The sequence below is a fragment of the Homo sapiens genome, chromosome 11 (genome assembly GCF_000001405.40).
Source record: "Homo sapiens chromosome 11, GRCh38.p14 Primary Assembly".
Classification (NCBI taxonomy): domain Eukaryota; kingdom Metazoa; phylum Chordata; class Mammalia; order Primates; family Hominidae; genus Homo; species Homo sapiens.
This window is the reverse complement of record NC_000011.10, coordinates 8,682,005-8,701,036: the sequence shown is the minus strand read 5'-3', so window position 1 is coordinate 8,701,036 and position 19,032 is coordinate 8,682,005. Positions and strand designations below refer to the sequence as shown.

Below are 19,032 nucleotides of genomic sequence, written 5' to 3'. Positions count from 1 at the left end.
GGTGGGCAGATCACAAGGTCAAGAGATCGAGACTCTCCTGGCCAACATGGTGAAACCCTGTATTAGCTGGGCCTGTAGTCCCAGCTACTCAGGAGGCTGAGGCAGGAGAATTGCTTGAATCCAGGAGGTGGAGGTTGCAGTGAGCGGAGATTGTGCCACTGCACTCCAGCCTGGGAGTGACACTCTGTCTCAAAATAAATAAATAAATAAAAATTTAAAAATTTTTTTAAAAAAAGGAAACAAAAACTTTTCCTCTCTCCATAAAATAATTTCTTAGTAAGTCCTACAACAACAGGATGGGTTATTGGCAACATGTTACATATTGTTTTGGTCAAAGAATCCATCCCAAGCAGTGGTTTCTCTAGAGTGGTCATTTGGACATTGATTAAGCCACCTTAAATGTCAGGTGCTCACAGGAGGGCAGTGAAGGAAAATCCCCGTTCTGGTTTGTCCTCCAATAAGTCCTGAATCCCTGGGGTATTTCCTTCCGTATGTATGAGGAAGCAGTTGAGAGGAAACCGAGAAATGAACTCCCGATTGCCTTCAGAGGGACAGGAACGCAGGCCCATCCTCAGCCCAGGAGAAGAAAGGAGGAAGAAAAACCAGAGCTGCTGACTTTTCCATAGAGCACCAGGGTTTAGAAAGGAAAACTGCCCCTCACTTGTTCCCATCACAGCCTCAATGCTTCTGTGTCTCACACTTCTAGGTGTTCTGTGGGCCCATCAGGCCCTTGTGAAGAAATCTAGCCCAACAGCTGGAATGAGCTGGGTACAGCAGTTCCAAGAGGCCCCTCCTGTGTACCAGCCATGGTCATTGTCAGCCAACAAAGCCCCTGACTGCCCAGCTTTGGTGCCCTGGCCTGGCCTGACCTTAGTGGCCCCTAAGAGAGCCTGGACCATGAGGTTTCTTTTCCTGAAGGTTCTACCCTCTAATTCAGGGCTGAGCTTCCTCTTTGCCACCCTGCCCCCCCCCAGGCCAGCTCCCGTGGGGCTGTGAATACAGCTATTGTTTCCTGTGGTTGCAGCTGCCTCTGAGCACATTCCAGGACCATTCTGGGAGGGACGATCCCAAGGTCTTGTTCTTGGCCTGGCCGGGTATTCAAGTTCTGCCAATCTGGGGTCTTGGAAAAGATGTCCTTCCTGTTCTGCCTGGGGTCTGCCTCTGGCTGGAGAGGGGAGGGGTAGGTCCAGCCAGCTCATGATCCGTTGCTGATGTTTTAGGTTTTCCACAAGTTCTTTGTCCCTCTTGCCTAGTTCTGATGTGGGGTGGGAGAGGGTACCCACGATCTGCATTCACTGGCCCTAGGGGTTTACAAAACCTACTGCCTCCTCAGCCACGGGCCCACTGATGTGCCCCCCAAACCCGAGACAGCCCTTTTCCAGATCTTTGTCAGATGACTGTCCTGCGGGTTGCTGCATACCTTCCTGGCTGTTTGCAGGTACATTTCCCTAAGAGAGTAGCATTGTTGTCCTTGAGGCGCTACGCAGTGGGAAAGCGGGGACTTTACCAGTCTGCAGGGTCCCTGAACCCCATTAGCATTTTTGTTGCACTGGGAGGTTTACGATCAAAGGCTGTCCTGAGCCTCCAGCGAGCTCTAAGTTCCTGGGCCTGGGCTCAGGTACTCTGTCTCTCTGTCTGCCCATCAGTACCCTCTCCAGCTGCTCCCACGCGGTGGTGGCCTTGCTCTACCCCTTCTCCTGGCAGCACACCTTCATTCCTGTCCTCCCGGCCTCCATGATTGACATCGTCTGCTGTCCCACCCCCTTCCTGGTTGGCCTGCTCTCCAGCTCCCTCCCCAAACTGAAGGAGCTGCCTGTGGAGGAGGTGGGCCACCGGGGGAACCAGCTGGGGGGAAGGGTGGAGGGGGAAGCAGGTGCTGGGATCTTACTTGTGGCCCCTCGGCCTCTTTACCAGGCTCTTATCCTTTCTCCCTGGGAGGTCTATCCCCGGCTGGAGTACTTCCTGTTAGCTGACCCTGGGAACCTGGGAGGTCTGGAGGCCTGGCAGAGGGCATTGCGGGACTCATGCCCTGAGCCACTCTGCTAATGACTCCTTTTCTCAGGCGCTGATGGTGAATCTGGGATCTGACCGATTCATCCGACAGGTAAGAGGGTGGGTGCTTGCTAGAGTTGGGCTCCTGAGCACCCTGCACCATCACACACACTACTCAACCTTCACAACCTGTTTGTTGAGCTCTCTCTCTGGGTTCAGTACTACTCACAGACTAGTCAAGGGTGGGGAGAAGCTGGTCTTGGAATCCTTGACCTTAGCAGGGTCCGCCTTTCCAGTGACATCATGAGCTTCTAGAAGGCAGTGTGGGAATTTGAAGAACACGGCCTGGGAGTCCACAGACTTGGCCACTGGACTTTGCCCCCTTTGAGCCACATGGTCTTAGGCCTCTAAATTCTTCTGAGCTCTAAAGGAGAGGTGGTGACAACACCTGCCTTGAAATGTTTGCTGGGGGTTACACAAATAACTATAGATTGTTATGTAACGTACAGGTTTGCAATCATTGTTGTCAACTACAAAAAGCCTTTGTTAGTCGTGGAAATCCTCCTGGCTCTCTACAAAGGAGCACAACCCAGTGCTCTCCCCTATGGAAATGTACTTATTGTCTGTTACACACCAATGACGGAGCTGAGGACTCCCTGGGTACCAGGCATAGTGATGTGGACACAGAAACAGAGTATAGAGACGAAACAACAGTCTAACTTCATTCCTGAGACACAGGCTGGCCACAGTCCCCCTGCCCCAAGCCAACTGTGCCTCCTGCCTGGAGCTGAAGATGGAGGAATTGGGGAGACCTAATCAGGAACCCCTGGCTGGTCCTGGTCACAGAGGCCAGTGAATGCCACACTGGCTCTACCCCCTTTTTTTTTTTTTTTTTTTTTTTTTTTTTGGAGACAGGGTCTCACTGTCATCCAGGCTGGAGTGCAGTGGTACAGTCATGACACTGCAGCCTCGACCTGCCTGGGCTCAGGTGATCCTCCCCATGTCAGCCTCCTAAGTAGCTGGGAGTACAGGTGCATGCCACCATACTTGACTAATTGTTTTTTTGTGTGTGTTTTGCAGATAGAGGGACCTGCTAAGTTGCCCAGGCTGGTCTCGAACTCCCTCCTGGGCTCAAGCGATCCTCCCGCTCAGCCTTCCAAAGTGTTGGGATTACTGGCGTGAGCCACTGCGCCTGACCCTCTACCACTTTTAATCTCTGTAATCTTGGGCAAGTTTCTTAACCTTTCTGTGCTTCAGTTCCTCATCTTAAAATGAGGTTGATGATAGTTATGAGGGTTACTGGGAGAGATAAATGAGATTATCTACTCACGCTCTTCTAACAGGTCTTAGCACATAGTAAGTGCTCAGTGTCAGCTATGATTGTCACTGTGCTTTCTTTCTCCTGCAGATGGACGACGAAGACACGTTGTTACCTAGGAAGTTACAGGCAGCTCTGGAGCAGGCTCTGGAGAGGAAGAATGAGCTGATCTCCCAGGACTCTGACAGCGACTCCGACGATGGTGAGAATAGTGCCCGGGCACGGTCAGCTCTGCTCCAGGCTCCCTCTGCTCTGGGTCAGGGCCCCATAGGGCCAGAACTCTGCCTCTGCACACCAAACCCTTTCTGGCTGATGAGGACCTTGGTCTCACTCTAGCGTCTTTTCTACCCCAGGTAGTTTAGGAAGGAAAACCCAAAGACATGTGGCAACCCCAAAGATACTTTCTGCTGACAGAAAACTAATTATTCCTCCTTCTGAGGCCTTGCCTCAAGCCATTGCAGGAGATGAAAGGCACTTCCTCTTCCTTGGAAGCCAGAAAAATCACTTAGGGTGAGGGATATGATGAAAGTGGTGCTCTGGTTTCTACTTTAATTCATCCAGCAATTATGTTTCAACTTCCATGTTCAGAACATAGTTTCTGGCCTTCTGCAGCTCGTAGGCTAGTTACAAGGCTATGAGCACAAGAAAGCAAGCTTCCAGAGGCCGGGTGTGGTGGCTCACGCCTGTAATCTCAGCACTTGGGGAGGCCAAGGCGGGTGGATCACCTGAGGTCAGGAGTTCGAGACCAGCCTGGCTAACATGGTGAAACCCCATCTCTACTAAAAATACAAAAAGTGCACCTGTAATCCCAGCTACTTGGGAGGCTGAGGCAGGAGAATTGCTTGAACCCAGGAGGCGGAGGTTGCAATGAGCTGAGATGGCGCCATTGCACTCTAACTTGGGCAACAAGAGTGAAACTCGGTCTCAAAAAGAGCTTCCAGAACAGAAGAGTGGTACTGGCTGGAAGTCTTGTTGGGGAGAGGAAGACTACACCAGGAAGATTGAGGAAGGCTTTGCAGGCTCTTGACCTGAACCTCAAAGATTGTCTTTTCCCTTCCAGAATGTAATACCCTCAATGGGCTGGTGTCGGAGGTGTTTATCCGGTTCTTTGTGGAGACCGTTGGGCACTACTCCCTCTTTCTGACACAGAGTGAGAAGGGAGAGAGGGCCTTTCAGCGAGAGGCCTTCCGCAAATCTGTGGCCTCCAAAAGCATCCGCCGCTTTCTTGAGGTTTTTATGGAGTCTCAGATGTTTGCTGGCTTCATCCAAGACAGGGAGCTAAGAAAGTGTCGGGCAAAGGGTAAGTCTTGGTTATCAGCTCTCTTCTCTAATTTTTTCACCCACAGCAGGGCTGAAGAACCAGGCACTATGATGGAAGCTCTTGGACATCAGCTAGGGCCAGGCCTCTTAACATCCCTTTACCTCTGTTAGAAACTTCAAGGTAGCATTCTTCTCCTCCGGCCCCAGTAAATGCCTTCACAAGGCTATGCACAAGCTAAGCCACATGGCTAGAGGTAGGACTCATCTCCACCTAGGAGCAGCATGCCATTGGTTGCCCACCCCCTCCTCAAAGAGAAAGATAGGAGAAAGCCCTTCTATCCAGAGAAAAGGAGCAGACTGAGCAATTTCGGGGGTTCTGAGAACCCAGTGGTTGGGAATTCCCTTACAGAGCATTGGGCCAGCTGTCGTAGGTTGGTGGCAGTCTTCATTTAAGGCAGATGGTTATCTTGTTTTTTGCTATTTCATCAGCTCATTCGAGGGCTTTTTCATCTCATCACAATTTTTCTGTCTAACCTCAGGGTTAGTACTTCTTCTGTCCTCTAATACTATCCATTTAGTATAACAACCTTTTTGGAACAACATGGTAGAGTTGTCTGAAGGAAGCTAGAGATGTCCACTTGGGGCAGCTCTGAACTGAGAAGCAGCCTCCTCACCTAGTGCAGCTTGGGAATGTGCATGGGGAGGCAGGGTGGCAGCAGCAAACCCCGGCAAGATGTCACTAATGATCGCCTTGATGAGCCAGCCCGAATTCTAGTAAGATGCTCCTGCAAATTATCATCCCAGATGTTTTCTTTCTCCTTTTTTGGCATCTGTGCTCCATGGTTCCCTTCATGTAGGCCTCTCCTTCCCTTCCTCCAATGACTGTTCTCTTCCCTGTGCCTGTTTCTTTTACCCAGGCCTTTTTGAGCAGCGAGTGGAGCAGTACTTAGAAGAACTCCCAGACACTGAGCAGAGTGGAATGAATAAGTTTCTCCGAGGTTTGGGTAAGTGGCCTTGTTACTGATGAGATAGATGTTCAGCAAGAAGGAAGGGGCTGGGAGATTTGTGTTCCCGAATACTCTAAATCAATGTCAACAGGTGTTATACTGGGGCTGTAGACAGAACAGGATGTAGACATCCCATAGTGACTAGAAGGTTCTCAGCCAGAATTCCAAGGGCATTTTGCACAGTAGTGGTCCTTCAATATCTGTGGGGGATTGGTTCCTGGATACCCAAGGATACCAAAATCCACAGATGCTCAAGTCCCTTCTATAAAATGGCATAGTATTTGCATATAACCTGTGCACATCTTCCCATATACTTTAGATCATCTTTAGATTACTTATAATACCTAATATAATATAAATTTTGTTATTTTATTTTATATTTTATTTATTTTATTTTAGAGGCAAGGTCTGGCTCTGTCACTCAGGCTGGAGTGCAGTGGTGCAATCCTAGCTCACCGCAGCCTCAAACTTCTGGCCTCACGTGATCCTCCCTCCTCCACCTCCTGAGTAGCTGGGACTACAGGCATATGCCATTACACCTGGCTATTTTTAAAATTTGTTTTGTAGAGATGATGTCTTGCTATGTTGCCCAGGCTGGTCTCAAACTCCTGGGCTCAAGTAATACTCCCATATTGACCTCCCAAAGTGTTGGGATTATAGGCGTTAGCCACCATGCCCAGCTGTAAATAGATATTATACTGTATTGTTTAGGGAATAATGACGAGAAAAAAAAAGTCTATATATGTTCAGTACAGACACCACCATCCATTTTTTCCCCCAAATATTCTTGATCTCCAGTTGGTTGAATCTATAAACATGGAACCCATGGACGCAGAACTCATGGATATGGAGGACAGGCTGTATTTACCATATTGCATTACAAAGAGGAATCCCAGGTTCCCACATACATCAGGTCTTTCTGTTTGCACTCCTTCCTGAGTGAATATGAAGGCCATTAGAGCCAGTGAGCTTTCCTCTAGACCATAACAGGTCTGCAGACACAGCAGTGCGAGTGCCCTTCCTGCAAAATGCACCCCTCCCTGCAGGGTGCTCAGCCCGCCAGATCAGAGAATCATAGCATGTTTCTGTTTAAAGAGAAATTGAGACCAAAGAGGTTAAGTGGCTTGCGTAAAACCACACAGTGATTAATACCGGTGCCCTAATTAGAGCTCTCACGTGTTTTCACTACCCTGGATCAGATCACAGTTATAATCCAGTCTTCCTAATCCTTCCTCTCCCACTGACAGGGTTAGGGCTACAAGGAGGAGAGGGAGTGGAGGTTGGAAGGGATAACACTGAACATTCTCTCTTGTCCTCTCTGGCCCACAGGCAACAAAATGAAGTTTCTCCACAAGAAGAATTAAGCCTCCTTCTCAGTAGCAGAGTCCAGTGCCTTGCAGAGCCTGAAGCCTGGGGAGAAGGCCCAGCCTGGGACCCTCTGGGCTGCTGTGGCTCCTCTGCCCCCACAGATCCTATCCTCCAAGCCAGCCCACCTCTGCCTTCATCATATCCCAGGATACTGTTTGTAAATAATCTGCTGTAAGCTTTCTTAACTGTTTTTTGTAACAAGCAAAGAGAATATGGCAAATATTTGTATATTCCCAAGGGGCCGGGTGCTTTCCTGTCCTGCCAGAGCATGGATGAAGTTTCGCTGGGTGCTCGTGACTGGCCAGTTTTGTGCAGCTGACTGTCTCAGCCAAACCACTGATCTTCCCTGGAGGCCTTCGGCCTGCCTGCCTGCCTGAGGTCCCCGCTGCCAGTCCCGGGCCCTGGAGAGCAGATGCTGTCTTGTTATGTACAGGAGGACCTTTTAAAAAAATCAAGTTTCTATTTTTTGCTGGTAGTCCGCATACCCATACCCTCTGTTTTTGAAAGGCAAAGGCCAATCAGTCCCCATTTGTAGCATGGCACCAGGGTCTTAGGCCTAGTCCTCTCATTCCTCCCACCCTCCGAGATGGTCAGTGTGTCATGGGAAGCCCACCCCCAGCTCTGCCAGTGCTCTCTGGGCCTGGCTCCCAGTCAGTGGTGGCCACGATGCGGTACAGGGCATCCCTCCTTCCCATCTACGGGTGTTCTCAATAAACAATGTACAGTTGTTTGGGCCCAGAGCCTCATGTGTTCCTTGGCTTTGTTATCTAGTTCTCTCTCCTGGGAATGGGCTGGGACTGGCCAGTCAGGGATGAAACACCATCACACAGGGAACTGAGTACTAGATTAAGGGGTTAGCTTCAGTGTGAGTCACTGACCTCCCCTGAAATGGAGTTCTCCAGCCTAAGTTGCATGACCGGTCTTAAGAGTTAGAAGATACCCAGTCATTGCAGTAGTTCAGCTTCCCTCAACTGTTCAGCCTGTGCTTAAGTGTTTCCAGTGATGGAAAGAATGCTCTTTGCCCTTCGGCCCCATTATTAGGTAAATCTTAACATTTTCCTCTTCTGCCTGAAGCCCCTAAGATGTCATTGAGTGTCCTAACATTGGTAGAGTAAAGCCCAGCTAATGCCAACCCAGGCTTGGGCATAGCCCTGACCTACTCCCTGTGACTCTTGCATGTCACTCTGTGAATCGTTTTTCCATTGGAACCCTAGGTTTTCATACAGAAAGTACGGTTACATTCCATGGAAGAGGAAGGAGAGAAGCAAGGTGGGAAATAAGGACGATTTAGGCTTTTCACCCACCAAGGCCTTCGGAGAGCAGAGACTTTGCAAACTCCCAAGTGAGGCATTAAGCTGCAACTATTTTCTTTGGTATTGTGTTTGGGTCTGACAGGATTTGAACCATGAGTAAAGTTTTCCTGTCCTTCCACCCTGTTGAGAGATGATCCCATCCTAAGTTTCCTTCCCCTCTTCCTCCTCCCCATCTCCACTGAGGCCTGCACAGGCCCCAACCTGTCCATGGTTTGGGCCTGCCGTCAGCCTCACAGAATAAAGTGGAGGGTTTGTCTTCTGGGAAGGCAAAGTCATTTTCTGGCTCTGCCATTTGCCAGGACTAGGACAGAGATTGAAGCCTCATGAGTCTTCAGTTCAGATCAAGAGAAAAGACAAGGATTACAACCAGAAGACTCAGAGTGGGAAGTAGTTCCCTCCAGAACTCGTCGCTCTTAACTCAGCCTGGGCTTAGGACAGTCATAGAACCAGATTCCTTAATAAGAAAAATACAGGCCATGCGCGGTGGTTCATGCCTGTAATCCCAGCACTTTGAGAGGCCGAGGCGGGTGGATCACGAGGTCAGGAGTTCAAGACCAGCAATGGCCAACATGGTGAAGCCTCGTCTCTACTAAAGATACAAAAAATTTGCCAGGTGTGGTGGGGTGCCTGTAATCCCAGCTACTGGGAGACTGAGGCAGGAGAATCGCTTGAACCCGGAAGGCAGAGGTTGCAGTGAGCCGAGATCGCGCCATTGCACTCCAGCCTGGGCGCAGGGTGAGACTCCATCTCAAAAAAAACCCAAAAAACCAGATTTAATTCCTAAAAGGCTAAAAGGTACATGCGCTCTCTCTCCCTTCCTCCCCAATTCTCCACCCCTCCTTTTTCAGCATGGCTCCAAAGAACCACTTTAGACATGTGATCCGATCACAAGATGTGTATGTGTAAATTTTTTTTTTAAATTTGCATTAACGGGGTCTCACTATGTTGCCCAGGCTAGTCTTGAACTCCTGGGCTCAAACAGTCCTCCTAAAGTGCTGGGATTACAGGCATGAGCCACCACATCCAGCCTTATTCATAAATTTTGCCACTTTTATGTGTCTTTAAAATCTAGTATGCCCTTCCGTGAATACCAGAGCGGTATGTCTCCCCGCTACTGTGGCTGCAGCTCTGGTCCCAATCCAGAAAATCAGTACTGGCATATAATGGCTTAGAATAGGCTGCAAGGGCCCATAGAGTGATTGCCATGGCCAAGGCACAGCAGCCTTATGGGGAGAGGAGGGTGTGGACAGTGGGCCTGGCTTGAGGTTTACAAAAAATATTCAGGGCTTCTTTCCACGTTCTTTCACATGATCTCAGGGCTTCTTTCCACGTTCTTTCACATGATCTCTGGACCTCTAAACCAATGATTTTCATCCCTATCAGATCCAACAGTTTTTTTTTTAATAGCAAATACTTTAATTCCCTCCTTCACTACCCTGAAATGAAATTCAAAGATAATATAAGCTACCGAAATATACCTTAACTGTAATATAAAAGGGGAGAAATAAAACAGAAATATTTTGTTATAATATTTAAATATGTAAATGCTTGTGTACAACTGTACTAGAAGAGATAATCAGATGCCTATACTGTACACAGAATTACTGTGAATGCAACAGCTACATATGCAGATGGAGAAAAGTGTTGTATCAGCATCTCAGATCCTACTGAGTAGTTATTGGTGAGTTTTCTGAAATGAACAATTTTTGGTAACGTTCTCAACAAAACAAAGTATGAGCTTCCCCTGATTTAAACAGTAGTTAGAATCCTAGGAAACAGAAGTATATGAAAACTGCAAAAACAAAAAACAAACCAACTTTTGGGTTATGTGTAAATGAAGTTAGATTTTAAGTTAGATTTCTCTTTGTTGTGTAGGACCAGCTCATCCATTCCAAGATATTTAGCATCCCTGGTCCCTTCCCCTCCATGACTGTGACAACAAAAATGACCCAACATGGCCAGGCGTGGTGGCTCATGCTTATAATACCAGCACTTTGGGAGGCCAAGGCAGGAGGATCATTTGAGCTCAGGAGTTTGAGACCAGCCTGGGCAACATAGTAAAGACCCCATTTCTATTAATTAAAAAAACAAACAAAAAAACCCCACTGTTTCCAAAACACTCCTGTAAAAGATGGTATTGTGGCCATTGAGAGGGAGTATCCTTAAACAGTGGCTTTCTGACAACACTGGGGCAGTTGCTCAGGGATAACAGTGCTATCTCCTCTACCAGGGAAGTCCCCTCACCTATAGGAGTGTCAGTTCTCCTCTATTCTGTAATTAAGTTAGTTCTTTTAATGCAGGGCAGGCCACTTCATTACACGGTTCTAAATGCTCTGATAAACTGTAGTCTTGAAATAAGTATTCTGGGCTTTTTAAAAAGCAATATTTTGAAGAATTGCCCTTAAACAGCATTAGTCAAACTCTGGTTGACATTGGAATCGGTGGAATTAGGGCCCATCTTAGTCCATTTTGTGTTGCTATAACAGAATACCTGGGACTGGGTAATTGATAAAGAAAAAAGACTTATTTGGCTTATGGTTCTGATGGCTGAAAAGTTAAAGATTGGGCAGCAATACCTGGGGAGGGCCTCAGGCTGTTTCAGCTCACGGCAGAAAGCAGAAGGGGAGCTGGGCGTGTGCAAAGAGATCGGGTAGTAAGAGAGGAAGCAAGAGAGAGAAACTGAGGAAGCCAGACGCCTTTTAAACAACCTGCTCTCCATTCCCAGCAGAGTGAGAACTCACTCATCCCCACAGGAGAACATTAATCTATTTGTAAGAGATCTACCTCCATGATCCAAACACCTCCCAATAGGCTCCACCTTCCAACACTGCCATACTGCGGGCCAAGTTTCAAACCACATCCAAACCATAGCACGACCCAAGAAAATAAGTGGGATTAGTCACAGCTCAGTTACATTTTTGTTAAAAACATCTTTTCGCATGTACACTTATAACCTACTTTATACCAAAATGACTTACAGGGATACACAAACTAGGTTATTTGAAACAACGTAAAGTGGGAATGAGAGGAAAATAAAAATTGGGATGTAAAATAGAGCCAGGAATTAAATTTACGCTTTAACCTATATTCTTGCTAGGGGAGCTACACAAAATACGTTTCTAGAGCCAGATGATGTGGTATGCATTCCAAAACAAATTTATTTGCCTGTGGAGGTGGGGGTGTAATTTAAAAGGCCATGAAAACTCTCGAAAGAGAAAATATTACTTTTCAGCAACGGCAAGTTCTGGTAGTTTTTTTTTTTTTCTCAAGATACTTTCGCTCCATTTATATTGCCTCTCAATATGAAAATACGCATTGGGTTGAACAAAAAACTGCACCAAAACATACTTCGTGCTCATTTCCCTAACCTCCTAAGAGGAAATTCCTTTTATGTTCTTCTAGAATATTTCCATCCGTGTACAAGCACTTTCTTTTTTAGCCCAAAGTGCCCTTGAATGTCGCTGACGCTCATTACCTTTTAGACAATTGAGACAAATTCTGGAGGTTCCCATCTCGAAGATTTACGTAAAGGCCACGCCCACTGTTCTTAAACGCACCCTAAAGGGGCTCGAAGTGCGGCGAGGTTGGCCATTCCTCCGCTTCGAAGGGGACCCACGGCCGCCCAAGGACCAGGGGTGGAGTTGAACATCCCGCCTCTCCAGGGGAGTTATCTGCGCTCGCGCACCACTGGCCGGCTCCGCCCTTGCCGGAAGTGGCCGAGCGAGGCCGGTCTCCGCCGGGCTTCTTCCGGTCTGGGACGCGGGGGAGTCATCGTCTCCGGAAGTAGAAGCTACTCACCGGAAGTGGTTCTCAGGTGCCGGGGTAAGACCCAAGGTCCGGTCTGTGTTGTGAGGACGCCACTGAGGTCGGGTCGTGCTGACTGATGAACGCGGCCGATGGAGCCACCAGGTGGGCGCTGCACAGCTTCCGCCCGCGCTTCCGACTTGCAGTCCGTCCGTGGGCTGTCTGCTCTTGGGCTAGTTAGCCGCTAAGTAGGGTTTAGTAGTACATTTATTTTGATTGAAAGCTCGCCTGATTTAGCTGCCCTTGACGAGCACTGCTTGTGCAAATTATGTGGCAGCCATTTGTCATAAAATCAAGTTGCACCTGCAGCTCCCACGTTTGAACGCAACTATATTTAAGGCATATATACATTAGACCAGAAATTAGATCTTTTGCAATTCAAGCTTTAGCCAGCCACTAGAGATCGCCAGTATGAGCCTCCATGAACACAGCAGGCTATTCAAAGCTTGGCAGTCATGAAAATATTTTAGTAAATGCGGGTTCAAGAAAGCACTGGAATCGGCGGACTTAGGGCTCAAAACTATTTTCGTCTGTTCCTCATCACATGAAACAGTTTTTAGAACTGTTAGTAGCTGTAGCTTCTGGTGAGTGAACAAGCCAGCAACGAAATCAGTGTTTCTTTCCCAGGCCAGGGGATCGGATGGCCTAACAACTCCTGGGGAAGAAGGTAGCCATTAAGGGACTAGGGATCCTTCCCCCCAAACTCTACTTCCTTCCATGCCTTATCATTTTGTGGTCGGCCCACTACAATTCAGTCTCCAAGTCCCGTCCATTATGCCGTCTGAATCGTACCTTTTCCATACTCACTCCCATTTTCTTGGTTCTGCCTTCAGCCTCCCATTGTAGCCGTCCTTTACAGCCCGGCCAGAGTAATCTTTCTCTCCACCATAGCACTTCCCGTTTGCCTAACCTTCCCAAACCAGTTTCCTGAACCAGTATTCCCTCTGCTTGGACCAATTTCCCACTGACAATCACATGAAGGCCAATTGACTCCATCTGCTCCCGTAATAGTTTGCACTTAAGTTACTAAGTCAAACACAAAAATTAAGTGCCTGGGCCGGGCGCGGTGGCTCATGCCTGTAATCCCAGCACTTTGGGAGGCTGAGGCGGGCAGATCAGGAGATCGAGACCATCCTGGCTAACACGGTGAAACCCTGTCTCTACTAAAAATGCAAAAAATTAGCCGGGCGCAGTGGCGGGCGCCTGTAGTCCCAGCTACTTGGGAAGCTGAGGCAGGAGAATGGTCTGAACCTAGGAGGCGGAGCTTGCAGTGATCTGAGATCGCACCACTGCACTCCAGCCTGGGCGACAGAGCGAGACTCCGTCTCAAAACAAAACAAAAAATTAAGTGCACGGTTTCCATTTTAATCTACACAATCCTCAGGTAGGCACTTTCACTGAAATTTTAAAGATGAGGAAATTAGGACTAAAAGTCACACAGGTATTGGGTGAAGACCAAATATTGAGTCTTTTAATTCATCATGAACTACTGACCACTTATTGTGGGATCCTTGGATTCAGGTTCCATATTACAAGTCCTCTATGGGCCCTAATGGAGAGCCCTTACTTTTTTTGGGGGGGGTGGACAGAGTTTCACTCTTGTTGCCCAAGCTGGAGTGCAATGGCACGATCTCGGCTCACAGCAACCTCCGCCTCCTGGAGATTCTCCTGGCTCAGCCTCCAAAGTAGCTGGGATTACAGGCATGTGCCACCACGCCTGGCTAATTTTGTGTATTTAGTAGAGACAAGGTTTCTCCAGGTTGGTCAGGCTGGTCTGGAGAGCCCTTATTTCTAACTTCTCCAGCACAACAGAAGATACAAGCCAAATGATACATTTGTTTAAAATTGTCCAGCTGAATCGAGGTTTCACTACTTGTAATTCTAGCCTATTCTTATGTAAGCCAATTCAGTGCTTCTCTGTGCCTTCTATTTGATCCCCAACATCCTCTAAAGGTTGTCCTGACAGATGTGTCCCATAGACAGCCATGGTTCTCGGCTTATTATGACCCCACAGTGCACTAAGGAAACCTCCACTAACTAAAACCCAGGAGTCTAAGTGCCATCTTATTTGTCTATAGTTTTAGACTGTATTATTTTGGGTCAAAAAAAGCTCAAAATCACAGGAAGAACCATAAAACTGTAGCAAATTATAATTTACCGAGATCTATGAGGATCTTATTTGTAAACATGAATTGGTCACCATCAGTTTTCCAATAGCAAGAGACACAAATCCTAGAAAAACTTATTTCAATTTCCAGCCTTCAGGATTTCCAAATTTTCCCGATACATTTCAGACTAGAAGAAAAATTAACTATTTCAAACCCACTTTGACATACAGAAAAGCCCTGGCATACTGAAATTTCAGATTGCTGGACCCCCATCTCGAGATTTTGATTCATCACATTCTGGATGTAACAATAATTTGGATCAAGATTAAGGAGCCATGGCCGGGCGCAGTGGCTCACACTATAATCCCAGAACTTTTGGAGGCCGATGTGGGCAGATCACTTGAGGTTAGGAGTTAGAGACCAGCATGGCCAACATGGTGAAACCCCATCTCTACTGAAAATACAAAAATTAGCTGGGCATGGTGGTGGGCGCCTGTAATCCCAGTTAGTCAGGAAGCTGAGGCAGGAGAATCGCTTAACCTGGGAGGCGGAGGCTGCAGTGAGCCGAGATCGTGCCACTGCACTCCAGCCTGGCAAGAGAGACTCCGTTTAAAAAAAAAAAAAAGATGAGGGGGCCACGTGGAAAAACCTTGGGCTGAGAACTTAAGTCCTAAAGGACCATCTCATTCCTATCACACTGCCCCTCTTTAGAATGTGACCCATCAAAATGGAATCTTTCCTTTTGAGCCCTGTTGAACAATTAGGGTACATTCTCTCATTCACTGTAAAATTCAGAGTACAATACATGCAGGCCTTTCAGTGATCAACAGGTATTATTCTGACTTTATAAACAGAAATGTTTAACTGGCCAACGTCTGTGTTGGTCTTACGTTTACCATATATTTGAGGGAAGTCAGGAGAGGACCCCATGTCTTCATACCCTAAGTACTAGAACCTGGGCTCCCAATGCACACAGGATGTAGAGGTGCCACTGAAGAACCTACACTCACACCACAAGGAAAAAGTAGTTAGCATTTAATGAAACTCCCTCCATGTGGCTTCAAGCCACCAGGACACAGGCCCCCCCAACACTCTTAATCTTCTCCTCAGCTCTTCTGCTGAAGAATTTGGCCTTCACGATGACAGGCTGCTTTGGGAGCTTTCCCTTTCCCAGAACTTTGTAGTAGCCCTAGAAGAACAGAGAAAAAAGTTTACAATACACTGTAGTAGGTACCAACTGCGTGATGGGCGTGAGGAAAGACTGCCAACCCACTTTCTAAATCCCTAGGCAGGGTATGTATGTTTCTGATCTGGGCACTAACGGGGGCACCGACTGCCCCCACCAGTGAATCAAGACCAGTAGATTCTCTTCGAGTACTCTAGCACACCAGGACAAGAGTTGTGTCAGGATGTGACTCTAGTCTCGGCAAAGCATAAGCCTCCTCCTGCTCAAATACCCCCTGCTAAGCAAAAGAAGACAACCACCTTCCTGACCACCAGAACTACTCAATGGACATTAAATAGGCTGGGAAGTGAATTTAAAGCGTCCCTAGGGTTCTGGCCTCTTAACACTACCTCTATATTCATGAGAGTTAAGACTGACACAGGGACCAGAACCCCCGCAAGGACAGACATAATACATCTGTTTTGGGGGAAAATCTCTTCAGATAATGCATGGCACTGAGTATCAATGGAACATATTAGGATTCTATTATCTGGAGAACATGAAGGGCCAAGAGCTGTGCTCAGTGAAAACCAGCTATAGTTCAAGCACGAAATGCAAACCTGATACAACCTGGGCAGTGACAGTAGGCACTGCTACGGATAGGGAACTACCTATGATAATTCTACCACAGGAAGAATATCAATGTCTGGTAGGTAACTGGGAAGTACAGATTATATAAGTGGATTAGATTAAGCCAGAGTTTTGTAAGGGAAGGTATGGAAGTACAGAAAAACATCCAATTAACTTACCGATCGCACCACATCAATGATGGGAGCAGCCCCAGTCTTGTTTTTAGCAGCATTCACCCGTGTCTGTTCACTGACCAAAGTCCACAATTTGTCAAGGTTGACAGTTGGGCAGAAGCTCTGGTTCCTCTTTAAGTGGTAATGCTTCATACCAACTTTCCCAAAGTAGCCTGGGTGGCTAGGAAGAGGTAACAACCACCTTCATACACACTCCAATTAAGATGCTATGTTTATCATCTTTATAGTTACCACCCCCTATTAGAGTGTAAATTATTCACTGGTGTAGAGCAGTGTCAGGCATATGATACATCTGTTGACTTAAACAACTGTTTTAAAAACCACCAAAGACTATCATGAGGAAAAGGCTAGTCTTATTTCCTGGAACCAGGATAAACCACCGACAATGTCAGAGGCAGGGCCGAGACTAAAATTCAAGTCACATAACAGCACTCTATGGAAAATCTACATACTCCTATAATAAACGTCTTCTGAATAGCCAAAATTTATCATCCACTAGTTTGTGGGTAGGTGAATGTGAAGCATGTCTCTAACCTGGTGACTGACTGTGCCATAAGGCCCACAGCCAGTGAATAAGGTCAGCAGTTACTCTTCGAGGACTCTAGCACACTCAGGCAATAGCCGATACCCAAGCGTGACTCTAGCCTCGATGACAGGTTCTCAGTTCACACCAAGTGTTAACTTGGTAAAAAACAGCAATAGGCAAGGCTTGCTTCTAAACTTTTTGTTTAAGCCAGCCCTCTCTCTGCCCCTACCTCCCAAGCTGTGTCAATAAAAGCAGTCCAAGGACACTTACTATTTGTCGAAGTTGATCCGGTGGTGATGCAGACCACCAGCATTACCGCGGCCGCCGGGGTGCTTCCGGTGCTTGCCTGCAGGAATACAAAGCTACGTGGGGCCGGTGTGATGGCTCATGCCTGTAATCCCAGCATTTTAGGAGGACGAGGGGGGGTAGATCACCTGAGGTCAGGAGTTCGAGACCAGCCTGGCCAACACGGAGAAACCCCCGACTCTACTAAAAATAGAAAAAGAATTAGCCGGGCGTCGTGGCGCACACCTGTAATATCAGCTACTCGGGAGGCTGAGGCAGGAGAATCGCTTGAGCCCGGCAGGCAGGGGTTGCAGTGAGCCGAGATTTCGCCACTGCACTCCAGCCTGGGCGACAGTGATCAGTCTCACACACACACAAAAAAGCTACATGCACCACACAGCCTTCTCATGCATCTCAATACTTCCTCGCACAAAAGCAGAGTGTTTCCCAGACTTCTGTGTCCCGCTTACGCTGTTCCCACCCTACCGATGCCGGTTTTCAGCAATGCGATTACTTTAGGATTCCGGGTGAAACATCTTTTCAGGTTCCACATCACAGCATTCCCACAGTACTCCATGTCTTCAACTAACCCAATACCGTGCCTGCTCAATTCCTATTACCCCACTGATGTGAAATTCCTTAGAACTGGAATACTAGAGGATCGTCAGAAAAAAATCAACAGCTGTGCAACTTGACCACAAAAAGGTCTTATTCTAACCCACTTATAGGCTACCGATCTCCAGACTAGCTAAGCACCCGAAGAGAGCCCAAGGCCCACCCCGAGGGGAAGCCGGCACTTACCTATGCGGCCGTGGCCGTGGCTCACGTGGCCCCTAAGTTTCCGGGTCTTCCTCAGTCTGGATGGCTGTGTGGAAAAAGCTTGGTGGTAAGGCCTAAGGAATTAGGGGCAGGGGGCGATGCCCGCCAGCCGAGATGGTCCTGTAAGCCTGTGGGTCAAAGACCTAACTTCTGGAGCGTTTGGGAAAGCTGAGGGTACCGATCCGCTCAGGGCCGTGAGGTCTCACCACGGTAGCGCAGGGGCCCGCGTGTCCTAGAGATCCGAACCGCGGGCCTAACACACGGCTCCGGGAGCCCCGCCCCGGGCCCGCGCCGGCCACCCTGCCCCGCAGGCGGCCATGCGCAGCCTGGAAGCCCCGACCATGGTAGGGAGTGGATGACTAGGGGCAATGGGAATACAGCTTAGGGGTCTCCGCCGGCAAGGAAGAGGAGGCAAGAAACGAAACACCTACCATGTTGGCAGCCCAGACGAAAAAGGAAGGCCTTCGCCAAGTCTCGCGAGGTATCGGCCACGGGGGCGGGGCAAAACGCCTCACTTCCGGTCACAGAGGCCGGGCTTCGGGCGGGGCCTCCTGGTCTCGCGGGATTGCGCGCCTGCTAGTCGCTTCCTCTTTCTGAGGGTGGTGATCCCCCATCACGGAGTGTCCTGGTGGCGGTGTACGGTTTCGGTGAGGCTCGTTGTGCTAGGCTCGGAGGGCGAGAACTGTTGAAGAATCGGGGCTAGGTGTGCTGTACTGCACGCCGCCCGTGCTTGCTTGAGCCAGGCCCTTTTCTGGCGCCTTGGTCAGGGAACCGCCTAAGCCGACCCTAAGGGCCTCGTTGTCTGAGCTCCTCACCAAATGCGCCAGCCCTGAGCCGCCCCGCGCACCTCCACAGTTCTTAGTGGTCTGCCCGGGGCTGGTGATAGTGGCTACTGGTTTGTCTCCCGGCCGCAGTGCGGAACCGCGAGGCCCTCTTTAATCCTCAGTGTGCCCACCTGGTGTCTCGCTCGGTTTCCTGAAGCTCGGGCGGCTCCCGAAATGCCTTCTCCCGCTCTCACACTTCTGAGTGGGCACTGCAGCTTCCTTTCTCTTTTGCCCTTTTGCTATCATTTGGTTGTCCTCTCAAGTTTGAGCAACTTAAATTGCTTCAGGGACTTAGATGCCTGGTTGCTTTATGGTCCTTTTAATGCAGATGTTGTAAATACTTTTTCTAAATGCCACATTTAGGCCAGGCGCGGTGGCTCACACCTGTAGTCCCAACACTTTGGGAGGTCGAGGCGGGA

At 48.4% G+C, this 19,032-nt stretch overlaps 3 protein-coding genes and 2 non-coding genes across 46 annotated transcripts in view, besides 14 other annotated features; 2 read left to right on the top strand and 3 right to left on the bottom strand.

Annotated features, from left to right (window-relative positions):
- Positions 1 to 7,685, top strand: part of DENND2B (DENN domain containing 2B) — a 217,600-nt gene extending 209,915 nt beyond the window's left edge. For 20 of the 24 annotated variants that reach the window (NR_164814.1, NR_164816.1, NR_164817.1 and 17 more), the window contains 6 exons: positions 1,647 to 1,824; positions 2,063 to 2,104; positions 3,401 to 3,512; positions 4,371 to 4,610; positions 5,488 to 5,574; positions 6,907 to 7,685. Coding sequence is in view for 15 of the 24 variants with exons in the window: in NM_005418.4 (NP_005409.3) it covers positions 1,647 to 1,824; positions 2,063 to 2,104; positions 3,401 to 3,512; positions 4,371 to 4,610; positions 5,488 to 5,574; positions 6,907 to 6,941 (694 nt within the window). In the remaining 9 variants the exon portion in view is untranslated. Of the gene's footprint in view, positions 1 to 1,333; positions 1,439 to 1,646; positions 1,825 to 2,062; positions 2,105 to 3,072; positions 3,221 to 3,400; positions 3,513 to 4,370; positions 4,611 to 5,487; positions 5,575 to 6,906 lie in introns of all 24 variants that reach the window. The other 4 variants (NR_164820.1, NR_164819.1, NR_164822.1 and 1 more) reach the window with 3 other exon arrangements.
- Positions 1,282 to 2,067: an enhancer, noted in NCBI's record as "NANOG-H3K27ac-H3K4me1 hESC enhancer chr11:8720517-8721302 (GRCh37/hg19 assembly coordinates)". NCBI's record gives its function as "activates a minimal SCP1, AML or CMV promoter by ChIP-STARR-seq in naive H9 embryonic stem cells {active_cell/tissue: H9 hESC(naive)}" and the evidence as "EXISTENCE:reporter gene assay evidence [ECO:0000049][PMID:30033119]".
- Positions 1,282 to 2,075: a biological region, named in NCBI's record as "NANOG-H3K27ac-H3K4me1 hESC enhancer GRCh37_chr11:8720517-8721302".
- Positions 1,781 to 2,075: a silencer, noted in NCBI's record as "tiled region #704; HepG2 Repressive non-DNase unmatched - State 5:Enh, and K562 Repressive non-DNase unmatched - State 18:Pol2". NCBI's record gives its function as "represses a minimal TATA promoter and a strong SV40 promoter by Sharpr-MPRA in HepG2 and K562 cells {active_cell/tissue: HepG2 | K562}" and the evidence as "EXISTENCE:reporter gene assay evidence [ECO:0000049][PMID:27701403]".
- Positions 2,068 to 2,855: an enhancer, noted in NCBI's record as "NANOG-H3K27ac-H3K4me1 hESC enhancer chr11:8719729-8720516 (GRCh37/hg19 assembly coordinates)". NCBI's record gives its function as "activates a minimal SCP1, AML or CMV promoter by ChIP-STARR-seq in naive H9 embryonic stem cells {active_cell/tissue: H9 hESC(naive)}" and the evidence as "EXISTENCE:reporter gene assay evidence [ECO:0000049][PMID:30033119]".
- Positions 11,165 to 18,245, bottom strand: RPL27A (ribosomal protein L27a). The gene is made up of 5 exons (NM_000990.5): positions 18,221 to 18,245; positions 17,772 to 17,835; positions 16,956 to 17,031; positions 16,145 to 16,319; positions 11,165 to 15,359 (listed from the first exon to the last, which is right to left on the bottom strand). The coding sequence occupies exons 1-5, from the start codon at positions 18,221 to 18,223 to the stop codon at positions 15,231 to 15,233; spliced, it is 447 nt and encodes a 148-aa protein (NP_000981.1). The 5' UTR covers positions 18,224 to 18,245; the 3' UTR covers positions 11,165 to 15,230.
- Positions 11,881 to 12,175: an enhancer, noted in NCBI's record as "tiled region #3983; HepG2 Activating DNase unmatched - State 1:Tss, and K562 Activating DNase matched - State 1:Tss". NCBI's record gives its function as "activates a minimal TATA promoter and a strong SV40 promoter by Sharpr-MPRA in HepG2 and K562 cells {active_cell/tissue: HepG2 | K562}" and the evidence as "EXISTENCE:reporter gene assay evidence [ECO:0000049][PMID:27701403]".
- Positions 11,971 to 12,160: an enhancer, noted in NCBI's record as "active region_4391". NCBI's record gives its function as "activates an Ori minimal core promoter by ATAC-STARR-seq in GM12878 lymphoblastoid cells {active_cell/tissue: GM12878}" and the evidence as "EXISTENCE:reporter gene assay evidence [ECO:0000049][PMID:35858748]".
- Positions 12,181 to 12,300: an enhancer, noted in NCBI's record as "active region_4390". NCBI's record gives its function as "activates an Ori minimal core promoter by ATAC-STARR-seq in GM12878 lymphoblastoid cells {active_cell/tissue: GM12878}" and the evidence as "EXISTENCE:reporter gene assay evidence [ECO:0000049][PMID:35858748]".
- Positions 12,481 to 12,530: an enhancer, noted in NCBI's record as "active region_4389". NCBI's record gives its function as "activates an Ori minimal core promoter by ATAC-STARR-seq in GM12878 lymphoblastoid cells {active_cell/tissue: GM12878}" and the evidence as "EXISTENCE:reporter gene assay evidence [ECO:0000049][PMID:35858748]".
- Positions 15,468 to 15,598, bottom strand: SNORA3B (small nucleolar RNA, H/ACA box 3B). The gene has a single exon (NR_002977.1). It is a non-coding gene; the product is annotated as a small nucleolar RNA, H/ACA box 3B (small nucleolar RNA).
- On the bottom strand, positions 16,681 to 16,810 carry SNORA3A (small nucleolar RNA, H/ACA box 3A). Its single transcript, NR_002580.1, has one exon. It is a non-coding gene; the product is annotated as a small nucleolar RNA, H/ACA box 3A (small nucleolar RNA).
- Positions 17,324 to 17,966: an enhancer, noted in NCBI's record as "NANOG-H3K27ac-H3K4me1 hESC enhancer chr11:8704618-8705260 (GRCh37/hg19 assembly coordinates)". NCBI's record gives its function as "activates a minimal SCP1, AML or CMV promoter by ChIP-STARR-seq in primed H9 embryonic stem cells {active_cell/tissue: H9 hESC(primed)}" and the evidence as "EXISTENCE:reporter gene assay evidence [ECO:0000049][PMID:30033119]".
- Positions 17,324 to 18,815: a biological region, named in NCBI's record as "MED14-independent group 3 enhancer GRCh37_chr11:8703769-8704968".
- Positions 17,616 to 18,815: an enhancer, noted in NCBI's record as "MED14-independent group 3 enhancer chr11:8703769-8704968 (GRCh37/hg19 assembly coordinates)". NCBI's record gives its function as "activates an origin of replication core promoter dependent on BRD2, BRD4, P300/CBP and CDK7 cofactors, and independent of MED14, by STARR-seq in HCT116 cells {active_cell/tissue: HCT116}" and the evidence as "EXISTENCE:reporter gene assay evidence [ECO:0000049][PMID:35650434]".
- Positions 17,806 to 19,032, top strand: part of TRIM66 (tripartite motif containing 66) — a 71,192-nt gene continuing 69,965 nt past the window's right edge. For 17 of the 19 annotated variants that reach the window (XR_930930.2, XR_930929.2, XR_930931.2 and 14 more), the window contains exon 1: positions 18,372 to 18,436. The gene's annotated coding sequence lies outside the window, so the exon portion shown is untranslated. Of the gene's footprint in view, positions 18,271 to 18,371; positions 18,437 to 19,032 lie in introns of those variants that run through there. The other 2 variants (XM_017018629.2, NM_001388024.1) reach the window with 1 other exon arrangement.
- Positions 17,973 to 18,172: a silencer, noted in NCBI's record as "silent region_3115". NCBI's record gives its function as "represses an Ori minimal core promoter by ATAC-STARR-seq in GM12878 lymphoblastoid cells {active_cell/tissue: GM12878}" and the evidence as "EXISTENCE:reporter gene assay evidence [ECO:0000049][PMID:35858748]".
- Positions 18,293 to 18,482: an enhancer, noted in NCBI's record as "active region_4388". NCBI's record gives its function as "activates an Ori minimal core promoter by ATAC-STARR-seq in GM12878 lymphoblastoid cells {active_cell/tissue: GM12878}" and the evidence as "EXISTENCE:reporter gene assay evidence [ECO:0000049][PMID:35858748]".
- Positions 18,683 to 18,752: an enhancer, noted in NCBI's record as "active region_4387". NCBI's record gives its function as "activates an Ori minimal core promoter by ATAC-STARR-seq in GM12878 lymphoblastoid cells {active_cell/tissue: GM12878}" and the evidence as "EXISTENCE:reporter gene assay evidence [ECO:0000049][PMID:35858748]".